The sequence below is a fragment of the Homo sapiens genome, chromosome 2 (genome assembly GCF_000001405.40).
Source record: "Homo sapiens chromosome 2, GRCh38.p14 Primary Assembly".
NCBI lineage: Eukaryota > Metazoa > Chordata > Mammalia > Primates > Hominidae > Homo > Homo sapiens.
In genome coordinates this window covers 24,949,357-24,969,608 of record NC_000002.12, presented here as the reverse complement: position 1 = coordinate 24,969,608, position 20,252 = coordinate 24,949,357, and the positions used below count along the sequence as shown (strand labels likewise).

General features: G+C 39.4%; 1 protein-coding gene and 1 pseudogene across 6 annotated transcripts in view, besides 1 other annotated feature; both read left to right on the top strand.

Moving 5' to 3' along the window:
• Positions 1 to 20,252, top strand: part of DNAJC27 (DnaJ heat shock protein family (Hsp40) member C27) — a 28,459-nt gene that overhangs the window by 2,486 nt on the left and 5,721 nt on the right. For 3 of the 6 annotated variants that reach the window (XM_047444647.1, XM_047444648.1, NM_016544.3), the window contains exons 2-6: positions 2,316 to 2,398; positions 6,135 to 6,204; positions 11,635 to 11,799; positions 12,444 to 12,566; positions 18,055 to 18,215. In XM_047444647.1, coding sequence (XP_047300603.1) covers positions 6,178 to 6,204; positions 11,635 to 11,799; positions 12,444 to 12,566; positions 18,055 to 18,215 — 476 coding nt within the window. In that variant the 5' untranslated portion in view covers positions 2,316 to 2,398; positions 6,135 to 6,177. Of the gene's footprint in view, positions 1 to 2,315; positions 2,399 to 6,134; positions 6,205 to 11,634; positions 11,800 to 12,443; positions 12,567 to 13,471; positions 13,579 to 15,973; positions 16,060 to 18,054; positions 18,216 to 20,252 lie in introns of those variants that run through there. The other 3 variants (XR_007076386.1, XM_011532902.2, NM_001198559.1) reach the window with 3 other exon arrangements.
• On the top strand, positions 372 to 726 carry RPS13P5 (ribosomal protein S13 pseudogene 5; annotated as a pseudogene).
• Positions 11,298 to 12,252: an enhancer, noted in NCBI's record as "H3K27ac hESC enhancer chr2:25180226-25181180 (GRCh37/hg19 assembly coordinates)". NCBI's record gives its function as "activates a minimal SCP1, AML or CMV promoter by ChIP-STARR-seq in primed H9 embryonic stem cells {active_cell/tissue: H9 hESC(primed)}" and the evidence as "EXISTENCE:reporter gene assay evidence [ECO:0000049][PMID:30033119]".

Sequence of the window (20,252 nt, the reverse complement as noted above, 5' to 3'; positions counted from 1 at the left end):
TACTCAGGAAGCTGAGGCAGGAGAATTGCCTTGAACCTGGGAGGTGGAGGTTGCAGTAAGCCCAGATTGTGCCACTGCACTCCAGCCTAGGCGACAGAGTGAGACTCTAAAAAGAAAAAAAAAATTTTTTTTCACTGTGATGATGGTTTTTCAACGTTCACAGTTTCCACCAGAAAGATTTTCCTTAGTGTTCGGTAAACCTTCCTTGGATGTCTATGAGAGCTTTGCATGCATTCCCATGTTGGTTTCTGTGATGTATAAAAGTAGACCCCCATCTTACAAATAGGAAACTATGCCATGATACCTGAGCCTTGACATCATCACGTTCTCCAGTTTGTGTTTGGTATTGGAAGTTAAAACATGATTCCCTTTTCAAGTTTGGTTCTTGAGAGACTCACATGGTGTTGCTCAAGTACGTTTTGTGACAGGCAATAGCATCTTAAGAATTCTTAAGTCCAAGAAGGGACTTGCTCCTGATCTCCCTGAAGATCTCTACCATTTAATTAAGAAGTAGTTATTGTTCAAAAGCATCTTGAGATGAACAGAAAGGATAAGGATGGTAAATTCTGTCTGATTCTGATAGAGAGGTAGAGTCACCCTTTGGCTCAATATTGTAAGACCAAGCAAATCCTCCCTCCCAGTTGGAAGTGAGTAATCTACAGCCTCTGTCCTGGTCATATAAATTTGTCTATGTACTCAAGCAATAAAATGATTGTTTAATTTAAAAAAAAATTTTTTTTAAGCTACCAAACTTTTCCCATTGGTATTGGGAAGGAAATATGGAGACATCAGTGGAACAGAGTAGAGTCCAGTAATAAACCCAGATACGTAAGGAAATTCAATTTACACAAATGTAGTAAAATTATGGGAAAATAGAGACCATTTAGTAAATATTGTTGTAACAACTGTCTACTATTTGAGAGTAGGTTGGATTCCTATTACATTCCTTTCTCAAAAATAAATTCTAGGCCGGACACAGTGGCTCACGCCTGTAATCTCAGCACTTTGGGAGACCGAGGCGGGCGGTTCACGGGGTCAGATCGAGACCATCCTGGCCAACATGGTGAAACCCCGTCTCTACAAAAAAAATAATAATAATAAATAAATAAATAAATAAATAAATTCTAGATGGATAAAAGATTTAAGTGTAACTTTTAAAAAAACTTATTATTTTGCCTTAGTTGTAAAAGTAACACATACTCATTTTAAAGGATTTGGAAAATATAGGATGATATACAGGTAAAGCATTTTAAAGTTAAAAATTAAGGAATGCCTTAGTAAATAATCATTGACTCAAACAGCAAATTAAAACAAATGACAAAGTAACTAGCAAGCAATGAAATGGAGGGAATATTTGCATATCACAGACTATTGTGTAACCATAAAAAAGTGAGTAGAGCTATTTTAAAGTTAACTTGGGAACCATAATTTATTATTGTTAAGAGAGAAAAGCAAACTCTAGAAGTATGTACAATACTCTGTGAAGTGAGTACTTTTTACTGCAAGTAGGACAAACCCAATTCAATTGATTTAACAGGAAATTTTTTTTCTCTTTTTGAGACAGGGTCTCCCTCTGCCACCCAGGCTGGAGTGCAGTGGCATCATCGTGGCTCACTGCAGCCTCTCCTCCTAGGCTCAAAAAAAAAAAAAAAAAGGAATTAATCTAATAGATATTTAGAGATGTGGATCTGGTCTTGGCAGTGAGGTCAAGGCTAGACAGATATTTTGGTGGTATCGTTGAAAGCATAAGAATAGAAGACATCTTCAGAAGAAAAGAGCACAGGATTGAGAACTCAACTGAAAACATATGCATATTTAGTAATAAGGGAAGAATTTAAAAATAATTTTTCTTAAAATCTTTTAACACTTGTTTCAGTTATTTTATAGTTTTGTCTTTTTTTTTTTTTTAGACAAGCGTTCACTCTTACCACCCAGGCTGGAGTGCAATGGCAGCAATCTCAGCTCACTGCAACCTCCGCCTCCCGGGTTTACACAATTCTCCTGCCTCAGCTTCCCGAGTAGCTGGGATTACAGATGCCTGCCACCATGCCCGGCTGATTTTTGTATTTTTGTAGAGACGGGGTTTCGCCATGTTGGCCAGGCTAATCTTGAACTCCTGACCTCAGGTGATCCACCCGCCTTGGCCTCTGAAAGTGCTGAGATGACAGGCGTGAGCCACCGCGCCCCGCCACTTTTGTCTTTTGAAAATGCTTTTTCATAGTGATGAATGGAGGAACCATAATGAAGAAATATACTTATTCTGTATGTGTTCTCACTATGTATTTACTAAATGCCTGTATTTTTTACCTTTTTAGAGCTGTATTATAAAGCGATACTGTGAGAAAAGATTCGTGTCTAAATACCTGGCAACAATTGGAATTGACTATGGAGTCACAAAGTAAGTATATTGTTTCCCTGGGTTTGTAAGTTACATAGAAGTTCAGAACTTTCCAAAATGATCCATATTTGCATCAGTGCTCTTGTGTAGGTAATCTTGAAATGGAGACTTTGAAGATAAGTTGGGAAAGATAGGAATAGTAGACCTTTACAGGTATCTAGTGATCATATCATTCATTCAGCCTGTGTATTGGTATTGAGCACATCCCATTCACCAGGCCTCGTGTTAGGTGTAGGCTACAGCAATGAACATGTCAACACAAAGCCTAAATGGCAGGTGTAACTTTCCAGGAAACATGTTTTTATATTAGCAGGTCCTTCCAGCAGGTGTGTTTTTAGAGCATTTTGAAATATTCTCTCTAAAAAGTCTATAAATATTGTGTGGAACATTTTCTACCAGAGAAGTTTTTTTATTGGTTTATGATCTTCATAGCTATTAGAATCCAGCAAAAATGGGCCAGATGCAGTGGCTTATACCTGTAATCCCAGCACGTTGGGAGGCCGAGACGGGCGGATAACGAGGTCAGGAGTTCAAGACCAGCCTGACCAACACAGTGAAACCCTGTCTCTAAGAAAAATGCAAAAATTAGCCGGGTGTGGTGGCACACACCTGTAGTCCCAGCTACTCAGGATGCTGAGGCAGGAGAATCACTTGAACCCGGGAGGCAGAGGTTGCAGTGAGCTGAGACTGTGCCATTGCACTCCAGCCTGGGCGACAGTGAGACTTCATCACAAAAAAAGAAAAAAAAAATGAATTGGGAAAAGTAAAGTTGGGTCCAATTGGGGATTTATCTGGAGATGAGTCAGGAGGGGGTTGAGCTTGAAGAGTTGGATATAATTAGCAGGAAATACCCATACAGTAGAATTGGGGTAGATAGCATACTCCTTAAACATGAAATTTCAGGTGTTCACTATCTTGGCCCCACTCTGGCCTTTCCCCTTTTGTCTTTTCTGTTACACACTTTACTTTCCATCCATGCTGAACTGCTACCCTCAGACTTTCTACCTCAGCACCATTATCCAGCCTGTCCACTTGGAACAGCCCTGCCCATTTCTCCAAGATATAAACATTCTCCTGTTCCCGTAAGGTCTTCTAAACATGCCCTTTATTGGTCAGGACTCTTTTTGGTTGCAAATGACAGAAATCCTAAAGTTGTCTATGGTATTTATGGTACTTACCAAAAATTGCCTTGTATTGTTATTATTTGTATATGTGTAATGTCTCCTGCTAGATTATAAACTCCCTGAAAATTTATTAGTATAAATTTTCTCCAAGTGCCTGGCATAGTGCTTATACCTAATAGGTACTCAATAAATATTTATTGTTAGGTAAGATAGGTACATCTAAAGAGGAAGTTTGCCAGATTAGACTATGAGGGCAATATTTAAGAAGGTAGACTAAAGTTTTGACATATAGCTAGCAGAATGTCGATTAGGTGAAGAGTGGAGTCAAGTTCAGATGTATCCTTCATGGCTTTTTAAAGTGGCCCCAGTAAATGGTAGAGTAAAACTCAAGAGTTGTGTGTAATGCTCTTACAGCACCATTTTTCAACTGACAGCAGCAGAGGGTATTTCTGCAAATTTTCTTTAAAGAATGAAAATTGTAGCTCTTGGCAGTGAAATGTATGAAGCTCTTCATTTGAAATTCACATTTCTGGCTTGGCACGGTGGCTCATGCCTGTAATCCTAGCACTTTGGGAGGCCAAGGCAGGCAGATCACCTGAGGCCAGGAGTTTGAGACCAGCCTGGCCAACATGGTGAAACCCTATCTCTACTAAAAATACAAAAATTAGCCGGACGTGGTGGCAGTTGCCTATAATCCCAACTACTTGGGAGGCTGAGGTGGGAGAATCACTTGAACCCCGGAGGCGGAGGTTGCAGTGAGCCAAGATTATGCCACTGCACTCCAGCCTGGGCAACAGAGTGAGACTCCTCAAAAATAAATAAAAATAAAAATGAAATTCACATTCTTTTTTTTTTCTTTTCCCTGAGACAGAGTTTCGCTCTTGTCGCTCAGGCTGGAGTGCAGTGGCGCGATCTTGGCTCACTGCAACCTCAGCTTGCTGCAACTTCCGCCTCCCGGGTTTAAGCGATTCTCCTGCCTCAGCCTCCCAAGTAGCTGGGATTACAGGCACATGTCACCACGCCCAGCTAATTTTTGTATTCTTAGTAGAGACAGGGTTTCACCATGTTGGCCAGGCTGGTCTCAAACTCCTGACCTCGTGATCCGTCCACCTCGGCCTCCCAAAGTGTTCGGATTACAGGTGTGAGCCACCGCGTCCAGCCTGAAATTTACCTTTCTTTCTAGTTTTCTTTTCCTCTTTCCTGCTTCAAAGCATAGGATTTCATCAGTGATATAGTAGGACATCCTATTTAAGATAGTTTTGTTCTGAATTCATATAAGTAGCTAGTTTATTTATCTAAGATGTGAGAATTACCATATTATGCCAAAGGACCATGGTATAGTCAACAGACTATTTTGTTTCTGGCAGAAATTTTTTTGGAAGAGATGTTTGTCCCATGATGAGTCAGGAGGATATAATTGACAGAAACCTATTTCAAACCAACTTAAGCAAAATAAAAGAAAATGGATATTAATCAGTTCACATAATCTAGCAACAAGGATGCAGCTGGGCCTCAGAGATGGCTGGAATCATAGGGAATATAGATAGGTCATTTCACTACATCTCTCTCCCTCTCTACCTGTTGGCCTGGAATAACTTTTAAACATTCATCTTTGTGTTTTTCTTTTGTGTTTGAATTATTTATTTTTCTTTTTTTTTTTTTTTTGAGACGGAGTCTTACTCAGTCGCCCAGGTTGGAGTGCAGTGGCGTGATCTCGGCTCACTGCAAGCTCCACCTCCCGGGTTCATGCCATTCTCCTGCCTCAGCCTCCTGAGTAGCTGGGACTACAGGTGCCCACCACCACGCCCGGCTAATTTTTTTTATTTTTTTAGTAGGGACGGGGTTTCACTATGTTAGCCAGGATGGTCTCGATCTCCTGACCTCATGATCCGCCCATCTCGGCCTCCCACAGTGCTGGGATTACAGGCGTGAGCCACCGTGTCCGGCCTAGTGTTTGAATTATTTCTAATGTTCCTTTATCATTTTCCAATGGTGATTTTTCATGAAAAAAAAGACTAGGAACAAATATGCTATGATGTTAACAGTAGTTAATTCTAATATGAATGGTTATTGTTTCCCCTTTGGTTTTATTCTTTATTTCCAAATATCTGAAAACAAATTCACTATTGCTCTTGCTCAAATAAAGATCACAAGAAAATTAAACAGACGTCATTAATATACATCGTTGTTATTCTGCTGTGTGATAACCAAATATAACCAGTGGTAATTAAGATGTCTCTTACTAAGTGAAATAAAACTTTTCATTTTCCTTCATCTTGCTCCTACTTATCCCAAATCAATTTTTCTTAATACCATAGTAATAGCTACCCTTTGTTGGTTGGGAGCTGTGGACCAAAGTTTCTAGAAGTGAAGGTGAAAGTGAAGTAATTGAGAATGCCTACTCCATGTGGGTTCAGTGTTCTTGGGATAAGAAGGCAGGATCATCTGTCAGGTTGCTGACTGCTATTGTAAAGATGATCTGGAATGAGGAAGAGGCACTAAGAAAGCTTCTTAAATTGCATACACATATCCTTTTGAAATTTATAAATGATATTAAGGTAAATGGAGAAACCATGACTTTCTTTCGGATTGTTTCCATTTGAACATTTCAGGGTACACGTCAGAGACAGAGAAATCAAAGTTAACATCTTTGATATGGCTGGACATCCCTTCTTCTATGAGGTAAGAAAGCCTTTTTGACAAAACCTATATCCAGTATTGTTGGTGGTTTGGGGAGAGATCCAGAATTATATGAAACAACCAATATTGATATCATGTGTAAAATTGCATAATTTTAGCTTGATCGTGGCTTGCCTTCAGAGCCTTGAGTTAATAGACAACTGTTGATCTTTTAGGTTATCCTGTTAAATAGTGGTAGGAAATTTCATTGCCAATATTTCAAACATTTCAATAAGACATTTTGACTTTCAGAGGACTTTTGCTTTTTACCTCATACTTTAGCCTAAAATGTGAAAAAAAAAATAATTACATTTATGCTTGGGCTTAAGAACTCAGTGATGCGACTTCTTTCACAGCAGGGTACTGGGGTGATCGTTCCTATTCATGCCTAGTCATCTGCATTCTTTCCAGAGAAGAAGCTAAAGCAACTACTTGATTTATTTTCATCTGCTTACCAGCTCTAAGTAATCACCAAATGAATCTCATGACCATTCTCTTTTGTTTTTCCTTCCTTGGGCTTTTTCATTTTTCTTAAGGAGGTTTTTTGCTCTTTTCTGGTTTGGCCGTTTCACTTCTGCCTTAATCTTTATCATTTCCTTCTCTCTGCTTGCTTTAAGCTTATTTTGCTCTTTTTGTTTTAGATTCTTGAGGTGGGATCTTAGATTATTGATTTGAGACTTTTTCCTTTTTTAATAAATTCATTTAATGCTACATATTTCCCTCTCAGCACAACTGTGTGTCCCACAAATTCTGAGATGTTGTATTTTCATTTTCATTCAGTTCAATGTATTTCTTTAATTTCCCTTGAGACTTTCTGTTTGATGTATGAGTTATTTAGAAGTGTGTTATTCAGGCCGGGAGCAGTAGCTCACGTCTGTAATCCCAGCACTTTGGGAGGCCGAGAAGGGTGGATCACCTGAGGTCAGGAATTCGAGACCAGCCTGGCCAACATGGGGAAACCCTGTCTCTACTAAAAACACAAAAATCAGCCGGGTGTGGTGGCACATCCCTGTAATCCCAGCTTCCTGGGAGGCTGAGGTAGGAGAATCGCTTGAACAGGCGGAGGTTGCAGGGATCCAAAATCGTGCCACTTCACTCCAGCCTGGGTGAAAGAGTGAAACTCCATCTCAAAAAAGAGAGTGTGTTATTCAAAAACAAACAAACAAACAAAAAACACAAAAAAAAACAAAAGAAAAAAAGTATGTTGTTTAGTTTCCAAGTGTTAGGAGATTTTCCTGTTAATCCTTCTGTTACTGATTTCTAGTTTGATTCCATTGTGATCAGAGGCTGCCTCGGTGATGATGGCTGCTGACTGATGAGGGTGGTGGTTGATGTGGCAGTTTCTTAAAATAAGACAACAATAAAGTTTGGCACATTGATTGACTCTTCCTTTCATGAAAGATTTCTCTGTACCATGCAATGCTATTTGACAGCATTTTCACCCACATTAGAACTTCATTCAAAATTGGAGTCAATTCAGTTAAACTCTGCTGCTGCCTTATCAACTAAGTTTATGTAATACTCTAAATTCTTGCTTGTCATTTCAAGAATGTTCATAGCATCTTCACTAGGAGTAGATTCCATCTCAAGAAACCACTTTCTTTGCTCATTGATATGAAGCAACTCCTTATTTATTTTTTATCGTGAGACTGCAGTAATTCAGTCACATCTTCAGGCCCTACTTCTAATTCTAGTTCTCTTCCTATTTCCACCACATCTGCAGTTACTTCCTCCACTGATGTCTTGAACTCCCACAGAGTTATCTGTAAGGGTTGGAATCAACTTCCAAACTCTTGTTAAGGTTGATACTTTGACCTCTCCCCTGAATCACGAATGTTCTTAATGGCATCTAGAATGGCGAATGCTTTCTACAAGGTTTTCAATTTGCTTTGCCTAGAGTAATCACTATGGCAGCTGTAGCCTTGCAAAATGTATTTTTTAAACAGTAAGACTTCAAAGTCAAAATTATTCCTTGATCCATGGGTTGCAGAATGGATGTTGTGTTAGCAGGCATAATAAAAACAGCTTTAATCTCTTCGTATTTCTCCATCAGAACTCTTGGGTAATTAGGTGCATTGTGAATGAGCAGTAATATTTTGAAAGGAATCCTTTTTTCTGAGTAGTAGGTCTCAGTAGTGGGCTTAAAATATTCAGTAAACTATGCTTAAACAGATCTGCTGTCATCCAGACCTTGCTGTTCCATTTATAGAGCACAGGCAGAGTAGATTTAGCATAATTCTTAAGGGCCCTAGGATTTTCATTATGGCAAATGAGCATCAGCTCATATAGCCCGTAACAGCTCTGTCAGCCCGTAACAAGAGAGTCAGCCTGTCCTTTGAAGCTTTTGAAGCCAGGCATCGACTTTTCCTCTCTAGCCTTGAAAGTCCTAGATATCATCTTCTTCCATTAGATCTATCTATTCCAAGCCTGTTTCATCTGCATTGAAAATCTGTTGCTTTGATTAGCCACCTTCATCAATGATCTTAGCTAGATATTTTGAATAACTTGCAGCACTACATCAGCATGTGCTGCTTCATGTTGCCCTTTTATGTTACGAAGATGGCTTCTTTCCCTAAACCTCATGAACCAACAACTGCTAGCTTCTGACTTTTCCTCTGCAGCTTCCTCATCTCTCTCAGCCTTCATGGAAATGAAGAGAGTTAGAGACTTGCTGTGCATTAGGTTTTGGCTTAAGAGAAGGTTGTGGCTGGTTTGGACTTCTATCCAGACCACTAACGCTTTCTCCATATCAGCAATATGCTGTCTCACTTTCTTAGCATTCATGTGTTCACTAGATTAGCATTTTTAATTTCATTCAAGAAGTTTTCCTTTGCATTCATAACTTGGCTAGCTGTTTGGTACAAAAGGCCCAGCTTTTGGCCTATCTGTTTTTGAAATGCCTTCCTCACTAAGCTTAATCATTTAAAGGTTTTGATTTAAAATGAGAGATACATGACTCTTCCTTTTACTTGAACACTTAGAGGCCGTTGTATTGTTATTAATTGGCCTACTTTCAATATTGTTTTGTCTCAGGGAAGAGGAAGGCTCCAGGAGTGGGAGAGAGATGGGGCAACAGCCATTTGGTGGAACAGTCAGAATATAGACAACATTTATTAAGTTTGCTGTCTTAAATGACCTTATATGTTCATGGTATCCCAAAACACTTAAAATAGTAACAGATATCACTGATCACAGATGATCGTAACAGACATAATAATGATGAAAAGTTTGAAGTATTATAAGTGTTACCAAAATGTGACACACACATAAAGTGAACACACACTGTGGAAAAATGGCATCAATAGACTTGCTTGACTTAGGGTTGCCACAGATCTTCACTTTGTAAAAAAACACAATATGTACATACTGTGCAATAAAGTGAGGTGTGCCTATGTGCCTTACATAGGTGCAATAAAGTGAGGTGTGCCTGCATCTGCTAGGCCCTGTGGGTGACACAAGGGAGGATACATGAAGATGATGCATGTCTTCACATTTCTTCTAGTGTAGGAGGGAAGACAGCTGGATATGCTACTAACTGTAAAACTGGGCAGGAAGTGATGGCACTATGAAAGTACAAAACAGTATGGTACTCCAGGGGACATAGAGATTACATTCTGTTTTGCAGGAGTAGGGGGCTGGATGGTGAGGAATGGAACAGAGAAAGCTGCATGAAAGATACAGCATTATAGCCAGGGCTTGAACAATTAAAGATAAAGAGGTATCTGTTTCCAGATGGAGTTAGGAAGGCTTGGGCAAGTTTGGGGAATGAGAGATTCCCCAGTTTGAAGGTCAGGAGCTAGTGGGAGGATAAGACTGGGAAGGTTGGTGGAGGACTGATCAGAAACTTTTAACATCATTTGAGAAAGTTGGAACTTTGGAGAATAGTTTAAGAAGGAAGAAGTTGAGGGGTTTCCTGTGTGCATATTGAATTTGAGATTCCAACAGGACATTCAGCTGGAAGAATGTTGTGCTAATTAGAAATGCAGGTCTGGAACCTCAGAGGAGAGGGCTCATCTTGGAGATTCTCACAGTTGAAACTGTACAAGTGGTTGATGTTGCTGATTTGGGAGGAAGGATTCAAAACGAAAGGAAGAAGGCATAGGACAGGATTTGGGGGATTTTGGTGGTAAGCTGGAGTGGGAGCAATAGAGAGAAGGGGAGTTGGTGAAAGAGAATTTAAGAGCCTAGGGAATGTGATGTATGGGAGCCAAGGCAGTGAGAGTTTTAGAAAAGAAGAGAGAGCCCGTCGTTAACTGCTGTAGAAGGGCCAAGGACCATGAGTACTGAGGGAAAGGACTGGTGGGCTTCATCATCTTCAGTTCTTTCTGATTTTGTTGGTTTTAACTTTAGGGGATAGCTTCTTAGGTTTCTGTAAACAAATAGGAGCACTTAATATCCTTGGTCCAGATATCTGCCTATGCCCAGAAACCCTACCCGATGTGTATAACATGTTTTCATTTCTTACTACATAGCTTGTGTGGGTCTGAGTACATTTGGGAATTTTGTGAAAAGAACATATAATATATGGGCTCTGTCAGGATTCTTTCTGGAACTTTGTCCCGGAAACCCCATGTGTCAATGCTGCTCCTTAACTTCTCTCTGGCCCTAATGTTTGAGTATGCCCATATTTCATGCTGCCTCTTCCCACATTTGGAATGAAGCCCAGAGAATGAATGCAAGGAAGGAAGGGGAAGGTGTTAAATAGACATTGTTTTTCAGGCACCATGCTAAGTACTTTGCCTGCATTATCTCATTTAACCATCATAATAACCCTGTGAAGTAAGTAGTATTATCCCCATTTTACAGATGAGGAAACTGAGACGCAGAGAGGTTAAGTGACTTGCCCAAGATCACAAAACTAGTAAGTAAGTGTGAACCCAGATCTGTCTGACTCCAGAGCCTGTGCTCTTTTCCATTGTATCACACTGAGGCTCTGAGTTTGGAGTTCTAAAGTTGGTGTGCAGACCCGAGAGTCAGGGAAGCTCTGCCTAGCACCCTGGGGGAAGCCAGCTTTGGGATGTGATTTATAAATGGCTGTACCCATTGCTGACACTTATGTCATTTTGGCCTTAAGTTCTTTTGAATTGCTCACTCACCTTCCTAATTCTTCCTAAGAAGAACTTTATATAATTGATGTTCTTTTAAGGTCTACTATAATTAAAGACTGATTGCCTCTAGGGAGTGGAACTGGAGGTGGGACGGGGTGGGGCAGGAGGCTGTTGTTTTCCATTGTAAGTCCTTCTATGCTAATACATTTTTAGAATGACATTACTTTGATTCTATAAAAAACCCTCTAATGACCAGTAGAAACAGATACAATAGCAAACACTAAGAATACACAAAAGAACACACTTTGCCAGGTTAATGACTGTGAGATACATTCTTATAACATCACAAAAACTACGTTTTGTGTATCTGTCCTTTTATTTGAAGGTTCGAAATGAGTTTTACAAGGACACACAGGGTGTGATACTGGTCTATGATGTTGGGCAGAAAGACTCCTTTGACGCCCTTGATGCGTGGCTGGCAGAAATGAAGCAAGAGCTTGGACCTCATGGAAACATGGAAAATATTATATTTGTAGTTTGTGCCAACAAGGTAACCCCTCTGGAAATGGTGTGTTCAGATTTCTAGGGAAAGAGTGGAGCTTTGAGTGTTGGGAAACAAAAAGAAAAGAAAAATTCCTTATTGTGTAATATGGAAATCAATAACCTTTCAAAACATAATGTCCCTAAGACAAAAACAAAACAACACAGCAGCCTAAAACCTGCTATATCAAAATTTGTATACATTTTTTTTTTTCTGGTGCCATACATGGGGAAGGATGTTGGTGACTGAGTGGGAGCAATGGTTCCTAATAATCAGACTCTGACCCGACTGGAGTAGGGGCATTAATTAGGTGATGTGGACTATGGAAAGGTGTGAAAAGCAGACTATGGCCCCAAGGGTATGGCAGATGTCATGAAGCCAACTTTCACAGAACTGAGTAACAGCTGTTTTCCCAAGGGATCAGGTGGGACATTGCAGCAGCAGGCACTAGTCCTGTTGCCATAGAATATCAGTCTACATTCAATATTAAGTTTTGTTTCTGTCCCTTTGGTCCTGGTAATTTTACACACTAGTGCAGGCATTTACTAAGAATAGCTTTGCCTTAGTAAAGGATTGACAGAGACCCTCACTGGGTCCATTCTAGTAGGACAAGATTGTAATCTTCTCTCTGTCCCCCGCCCCTTCTATTTCAGATTGATTGTACCAAACATCGCTGTGTAGATGAAAGTGAAGGACGTCTTTGGGCTGAAAGCAAAGGGTTCCTGTACTTTGAAACTTCAGCACAAACTGGAGAAGGCATTAATGAGATGTTCCAGGTAAGCTAGCATTTTGTTGTTTTAAGGTTTGTGTCAAGGCCACTGTGCCAATTTTCAGTTTAAATTATAGGAAGCAAAAAAGTAATAGGAATTTCTCATTAGAATAAGCTCTTTCTTTTCAAAGAATCTAGTGAGATAGAAATAGAGAAAGGGGGAGAGAAAGGAAGAGAGAATGAGAATGAGTGATCTGACTGCTGTCTATTTTAGATGAGACTTAGCTGATCACCAGAATTACCTGAGGAAATTCTTAAAATACATACTTCTAGGCTTCAGACCTACTGGAAGCTTATGTTGCGATGGAGCCCAGGAATCTATATTTTGAAAAAGCTCTCTCTCCAGGCGATTCTGAAGATCATCAAGTTTAACAAAAGTTATTATACACTGCTTAAGCAGGACAGAGATTTTCTTCAAAGCTACCTTTGGCTAATGGTATTACATTTATATGCATAATCAGATAGAAGCATTACTGTGGCAAAATTGCCTTGCCACCGCTAGTATAATCCTATATTGTAGCCCACAGGGGTGCAGTTAGAGAATAGGAGACTGTCAGTATAGACTCCATCCAGTCACACATAAAAATAAGGCCTCGCCAATCAAGCAGGAAATAGAGGGAGGCGCTCACATCACAACCTGAACAGATGGCCACTTTAAAAAAACCTACTCATCTTGAGTAATTTTAAGGGAAATAGGCTATTTAAAACAATAACTTATAAAGTCAGCCCTTAATTATAGATACATTTGGAAGTAAGTGGTAGCATGAATAATGTAGTTTTCTTCTTATGAATATATCTGATATTTTGGGAATTTTTAGCATTTCAAATAAAGTAGTTACACTATAAAGAGTTGTTCTTAATTATTGAGTGGGATTGTACTTAATCTTTTATGCTGAATTTCCTTCTCACAAGATGTCACTCCTCCTGCTAGAAGACAGATTTCTTCCTTGGCTGACAGGCTGAATTAAGCAAAAGTATTTTCTATTTCAAGATCAAATAAAGTTGATGCTGGTTTGCCATGCTTTCTATTCTTTTGAGTACTTGGAGCTATGTGACTTTGTGCCTGTATGTGTACAATAATGATACCTAACCATTTGAATAGTACTTCACCATTCTGGAGAATTTTACACATTTCATCTCATGGAGACTTACAGCAACAATGTGTGGCAAGTATTGTTATCATTTCATATATGAGAGCATCTAAGGGTAGTAAAGTGATTTGTCCAAGGGACATACTTGTTAGAAATGAGATTTTTTTCAACACTTTAAAGATGCTGGTCCATTCTCTTCTGGCCTCCATTGTGTGTCATGAGATGTTAGCACTCATTCTGACTCTTATTAATCTCTGTACCTAATGTGCCCTTTTTACCCCCTGGCTGCTTTCAAGAGTTTCTCTTTTCTTTGGTTTTCAGCAGTTAGAATATGATGTGCCAAGATGTGATTCTCTTCATTTTTATTCTATTTAGGATTTACTGAGTTTCTAAGATTGGTAGGTGGGTGTTTTTCATCAAATTTGGGGAGTTTTCTGTTTTGTTTTTGTTTTACTATTATTTCTTCAGAGTTTTTTTGGCCACATTCTGGCTCTCTTTACCTTCTTGGCCTCCAATTACATGTATATTAGACCATTTGATTTTGTCCCAGAGTCCCTGAGGCTATATTTATTTTTCTTCCATTTTTTTATGCATTTTTCAGATTGCATAGTCTCTGTTGATTTGACTTCACCACTGACAATCTACTGTTAAACTCCCTGAGGGAAGTTTTCAGCTCTAGAATTTGCATTTGGTTCCCAGTATAGTTCTCAGTTCTCTATTAGATTCTCTGCTCACTCATTAAGAGTATATTTTCCTTTAATTCTTTGAATGTATTTTTCTTTACCTCTTTGAAATATTTATAATAGCTGTTTTACAGTCTTCATCTGCTAAGTCCAACATTTGAACCATCTTGGGTTCAGTTTCTATTTACTACCTTTTTTCCTGACTATGGATCACATTTACATGTTTCTTTGTATGAGTAGTGGTTTTTGATTGAACACCAGACCTTGTGGATAACACATTGTAGAGACTCTAGATTCTTTTATCTTCCTCAGAAGACCGTTGGTTTTTTTTTCTTTTTTTGAGACGGAGTCTGGCTCTGTTGCCCAGGCTGGAGTGCAGTGGCGCAATCTCGGCTCATGGCAAGCTCCGCCTCCTGGGTTCATGCCATTCTCCTGCCTCAGCCTCCTGAGTAGCTGGATTACAGGTGCCCGCCACCATGCCCGGCTAATTTTTTGTATTTTTAGTAGAGACAGGGTTTCACCGAGTTAGCCAGGATGGTCTCGATCTCGTGATCTCGTGATCCGCCCGCCTCGGCCTCCCACAGTGCTGGGATTACAGGCATGAGCCACCGCACCCAGCCTGACTATTGATTCTTGATTGAAGAATGTTTAGTGTTGATTTTTGATTCCTCAGGAGGCAGTTTAATTATTGGCAAATTACAGTGAACTTGTGTTGGCTTGTTTTTTTGCCCTAATAGCAAGGATTTGAAGGAAGTTCAAAGTGTTTCCCAAGCCCTTCTAATTTGGCAGGACTCAGCTTCCAAATTCTGTCTCTTTTGCAGATCTTGTCAGCTCTTGGTTTTAGGTTTTGTTAGGATGAGTCTATAATTTTTAGGGCACAGCCTTTCTGTGGTGCCTCAGTAGATGGTGGGGCAATTAATGAGGGGTTAAGGCAATATCTCCACTCTGACAAGGCTAAACCCTACTGTTCCCAGGATAGCTCTTCTCTAGCACCACTAGACCTCAGGATATTGGTTTTGTTCTCAACCCCATAGCAGCTGTTATCTGGTAAGCCTTGAGTGATCTCACCCTATGCATATATAGCCCAGCCTTTGGCCACAGACTCATGAGAGACCCCCATATGGACTTGGTGCCCAGCTCTGCACAGCTCTCTCCTCTCCAATGGCCTGCTCTGCAGAGTCTAGCCACCTCCTCCTTAGCTCAATGAGACTTGTGTCTGCTCAGACTCCAGCTCTCTGTGATGTGGTCAGGAAATGGACTCCAAGCAGACAACCAGGTGATTGGGGGGCTTATCTCTCAGGGAGCCGTCTTGCACTTGCTGTTGTCCACTGCCAACAGTTTTTTTCCAGTTCGATAGTAGTTGATGGCAGGAAGTCTAGTCCAGTATTCATTACTCTGTCATGGCTGGAACTCAGACATGAAATTTAAACAGGCTTTGGTCTCAATCCTAGTATTCTATAGCCTACACTATGACTTGTCTCCTATAACCATGTGTGTGATGAATGAATCCTTGTGCCCTCAGAAATCTATGAATATTCATATTTCAGGTTAACTCGTAGGCTAGAAGACAGTCTTACTGATACACAACTAGCAAACATCCGTGAACTGTGATCCCTTTTATGTGGCTTTTATCTTTTTAGATACATCTTGGATAGAACTAATGGATAAATTAGTCTGTTTAAAAAAAAAAAGCTAACAAGAAGAGAATAATTACAGTATTCTATAAGTAAGTACTTAAAAGTAGTGCTTTCCTGCTGGTTCAATTTAATAAATATTTTCTTTATTTCCCATCTACTTAATAGACATTTTATGTCAGGAAGTAACATGGTTTTATCTGATTGATAACTGTTAACAGAGAGAGCAATATTAAGACAGACTAAAGCCAAGCTAATACGTCTTGTGTCTTGGTCTCTAGTGGTATTCCTTTGACACCCCTTTTCAGACGTCAAGGCTTCTTGTTAGGTTACCAAGTTGATTAGCTAATACTAGACATCAGAAAGGAGAGTCTAAAAGAAAGATAAGAATTTTAGAAGATAACAGGAACTATAAAAGAATCCAAAAAAGAAGAGGAAAAGATTTTTAAAGAAATTAGGAGGAGATATGTCCATTTAAAAGTGGCTGTAGTGTGGTAAATGAGTATTATTCAATAATAATTACAGTGCACAGAACATGAAACATGAGCAGGGTCAAAAAAGCTTTCACCTAAAAAAAAATCAGAAAAGTGTAGCCAGGTGCAGTGGCACATACCTGTAATCCCAGCTGCTCAGGAGGCTGAGACAGGATCACTTGAGCCAAGGAGTTTGAGACCAGCCTGGCCAACATAGAGAGACCCTGTCTCAAAAAAAAGAAAAAAAATTGTAAAAATGGGCAAAGAATAAGAAGTTTGCAGAAAAAGAAAAGGCCATAAGCATTTGGAAAGATACCCACTTTCACTTCTAATTAAAGAAATGCAAATCAAACTATATTAGATATATATCAGATTAGTAACACTTAAGATGTTTGATAATGGTCAGTGTTAATGAGGGTATGGAGAAGTAGGCACTCTGTCTCACACACACGGTGATGGGAATGTAAACTGGTACAGCTTTTTTTTTTAACAACGGTTGTCAGACTCAAAAATTAAAATGCGCATATACTCTTTCTCAACAGTTCTGCTTTTAGGAATTTATCCTAAAGCAGTATCCCCACAAGTGTACTGAGATGTATACACAAAAGAAAAATTTACTGAAGCACTGTTTATAGTAGCAAAAAAACTAGAAACAACTGACTTGTCCAAGAATAGAGAGTTGGTTACACAAATTATGGGACAGCTACACAATACAATACTGAACAGTCATTTAGAAGAACAAAGAAAGTCTCTACATGTAGCTATAGAAAGATTCCAGGATGCATTATGTGGAAAAAAATACAAGGTGCTAAGATGTGTTTAGTCTGATCTCCTTTAGTACATGTTGAAAGAGTATGGATCTGTGTATATACTGGCATACTGATGGTAAATTTTTCTGGAAGGATGCTCAAAAAAAATTAACAATGGTTACCTCCAGGAGAGGAACTTGAGGAGTAGAGAGACACAGTTTTCATTTTACACTTTTCTTTACTATTTGAATTTTTCTAACAATGTTCATCATTACTTTTGTTGTTTTGGTTGGTTGGTTTGTTTTTGAGACAGGGTCTGGCTCTGTCACCCAGGCTGGAGTACAGTGGCATGATCTGGGCTCACTGCAGCCTTCACTTCCTGGGCTCAAGCATCCTCCGACCTCAGCCACCCAAGTATCTGAGACTACAGGCGTGCACCACCACACTCGGGTAATTTTTGTATTTTTTGTGTGTGTGGAGACGTGGGTTTGCCATGTTGCCCAGGCTGGTCTCAAACTCCTGAGCTCAAGCAATCCGCCTGCCTCGGCCTCCCAAAATGCTGGGATTACAGGTGTGAGCCACCATGCCCTGCCCATCTGTTACTTTTTAACTTCAATTGTGGTTATCTGAAAGTAGGATTATTAGCCACTTTAATTTTATTCCTTATACTTTTTGTGTATTAAAATATATGAATATATATATTTAAATAGTATAAAAGAAAAAAATCTTCCAAAGTGTGTATTTGCTTTATACATGACTTCTAAGAGTTGCTGGAATATATTAAAAGTCTTTTAAGTTGATGCTTAAAAGGAATTCCTATTTTCACAAAATCATTTCTACCCTGGGTTATGTTTTCTTCTTGTAGACCTTTTATATATCCATAGTTGATTTATGTGAAAATGGCGGGAAACGCCCTACCACCAATAGCAGTGCTAGTTTCACCAAAGAACAAGCAGATGCCATTCGCAGAATTCGAAATAGTAAAGACAGTTGGGACATGCTGGGAGTCAAACCTGGGGCCTCAAGGTAAGCGCTCTGGGATACTTAGTGCTGATTGCTATCATAAAGAAAGACTCCATCACCAAAATTATAGGTGCAGTATATCTTCCTCCAGTTGGCTGGAAATACGAAGATGTATGAAAATATATTAGAATGACTCAGTTTCACTGAATTAGCTGAATACCAAAGAGACAAAATAGAGGGCACAGTTGCCTGGTGAGAAAACTGTGTCGTGTACGTGCATAAATACTTCATGAAATGGTATGCTCTGCTTTCATCTGTCTGGAACAAGAAGAGCTTTGAAAAGAACTAACAAAAGAGAATTCTTCAATCATAGAATGTTAGAGGAGGAAAGCACGTTGGCAATCAACTTGTCAAACATTTCATTTTATAGGTGGGAAAACTGGGATTCAGTGAGATTAAACATGTTCAAGAATCCCCGGAGTTAGTGGTATAATTGGTTCTTACCCTGGAACACTGTATGTTTGACTGTCTCTGTCTTTGTCTCTAAAGCCCTGCAAGTTCCTCATCTGTGTGTGTATTTGTTTATTTTTTTTTTTTATTTTTATTTTTGAGACAGAGTCTCACTCTTATCACCCCGGCTGGAGTGCAGTGGCGTGATCTCAGCTCACTGAAACCTCTGCCTCCTGGGTTCAAGCAATACTCCTGCCTCAGCCTCCTGAGTAGCTGGGATTACAGGCACACGCCACCACGCCCGGCTAATTTTTATATGTTTAGTAGAGATGGGGTTTTGCCATGTTGGCCAGGCTGGTCTTGAACTCCTGGCCTCAGGTGATCCAACTGCCTCAGCCTCCCAAACTACTGGGATTACGGGCGTGAGCCACCACACCCAGCCCTCTGTGTGTGTATTTATGTTAATTATTTTAGTCAAAAGAGTTATTTAAGAAAAAAATTCAATCACTATTCTTTGTTGCTTGTACAAAAATTAAATTATTATTCATTATGGTTATGTAACTTTCAACGGTCTAATTCTACCGTTACTACACATATTGTAGTGTAGTACAATATGCGCCCAGACTCCCCCCACATACTTCACCCTTCCTACTTTTTCACCTTGATTCTCACAAAAGAAAAAAGTATGTCTTGAAATTGCCATGTCAGCACCCAAAGCACTACACATCTCTTCTCCATTCTGACCTCACAGCGTATCTTCAAGTCCAGAAGGAAAGCGGGGAAGGGAAGGGGAAAACTGTTATTGGGCACACTCATTCACCAGGTGATATTGAGGATGCTTTAAAACTGTCAGGGAATTCAGATGACCTCGTGTAGGGCACAGAGTTTATCGGGATCTTTTTTTTTTTTTCAGTGCTATACTCTTTGGTTTATTGTAGATTTTTAGTGGGTTTTGAAATTCGAAAATGTGAGTCTTCCTATTTTTTTTCAAGATTATTTGACTATTAAGGATCTGTTGTAATTCCATATATATTTTAAGATCAGCTTCTCCATTTATGAAAAAAAAAAAAGCCAGTAGGGTTTCAGTAAGATTGCACTGAATCTGTATATCTGTATATTTTACATTTCTTTTTAGGCCTTCATAGTCTCTTTCTGAATTCTTCTGTGTCATCTCCAAGGGATACTGGCTCTAAACTTAAGAAACAATTACTTTATCTACTTGTTAGTAGACTTAGAACAATATTCATTAAGAAAGAAGAAACTTAGGGCTCCTTATGTATTCACTTTGGTTAATTGAAATTTACCAGAACTTACAGGCCCCTATAGGTTTCATATCCTTAACCAATAGAAACATGTGCTTCTCTTACCTTTATTCCACTGGGCCTAGCAAACTAATTTTATATGGCACTAAGTACATTTGGGAAAAAGCCTTAAAACATTTTTTTCTTAAGTTACAGAGAGTTTTGGTATTTGTTGACTGTTAACTGTGTTTACTGTTCTTGAACTTTAAGAAAATCTTCGTCTTCAACGGAATTGATGTATTTGTTACATCTTGAGAGTTTCTCCCGCTACCTGCAAATCTTGAAAGGCACTCTTAGTGCAGAGGACCGGGTGTAACTACTGACCCCATGTGGACACCCTCTCTGGGGA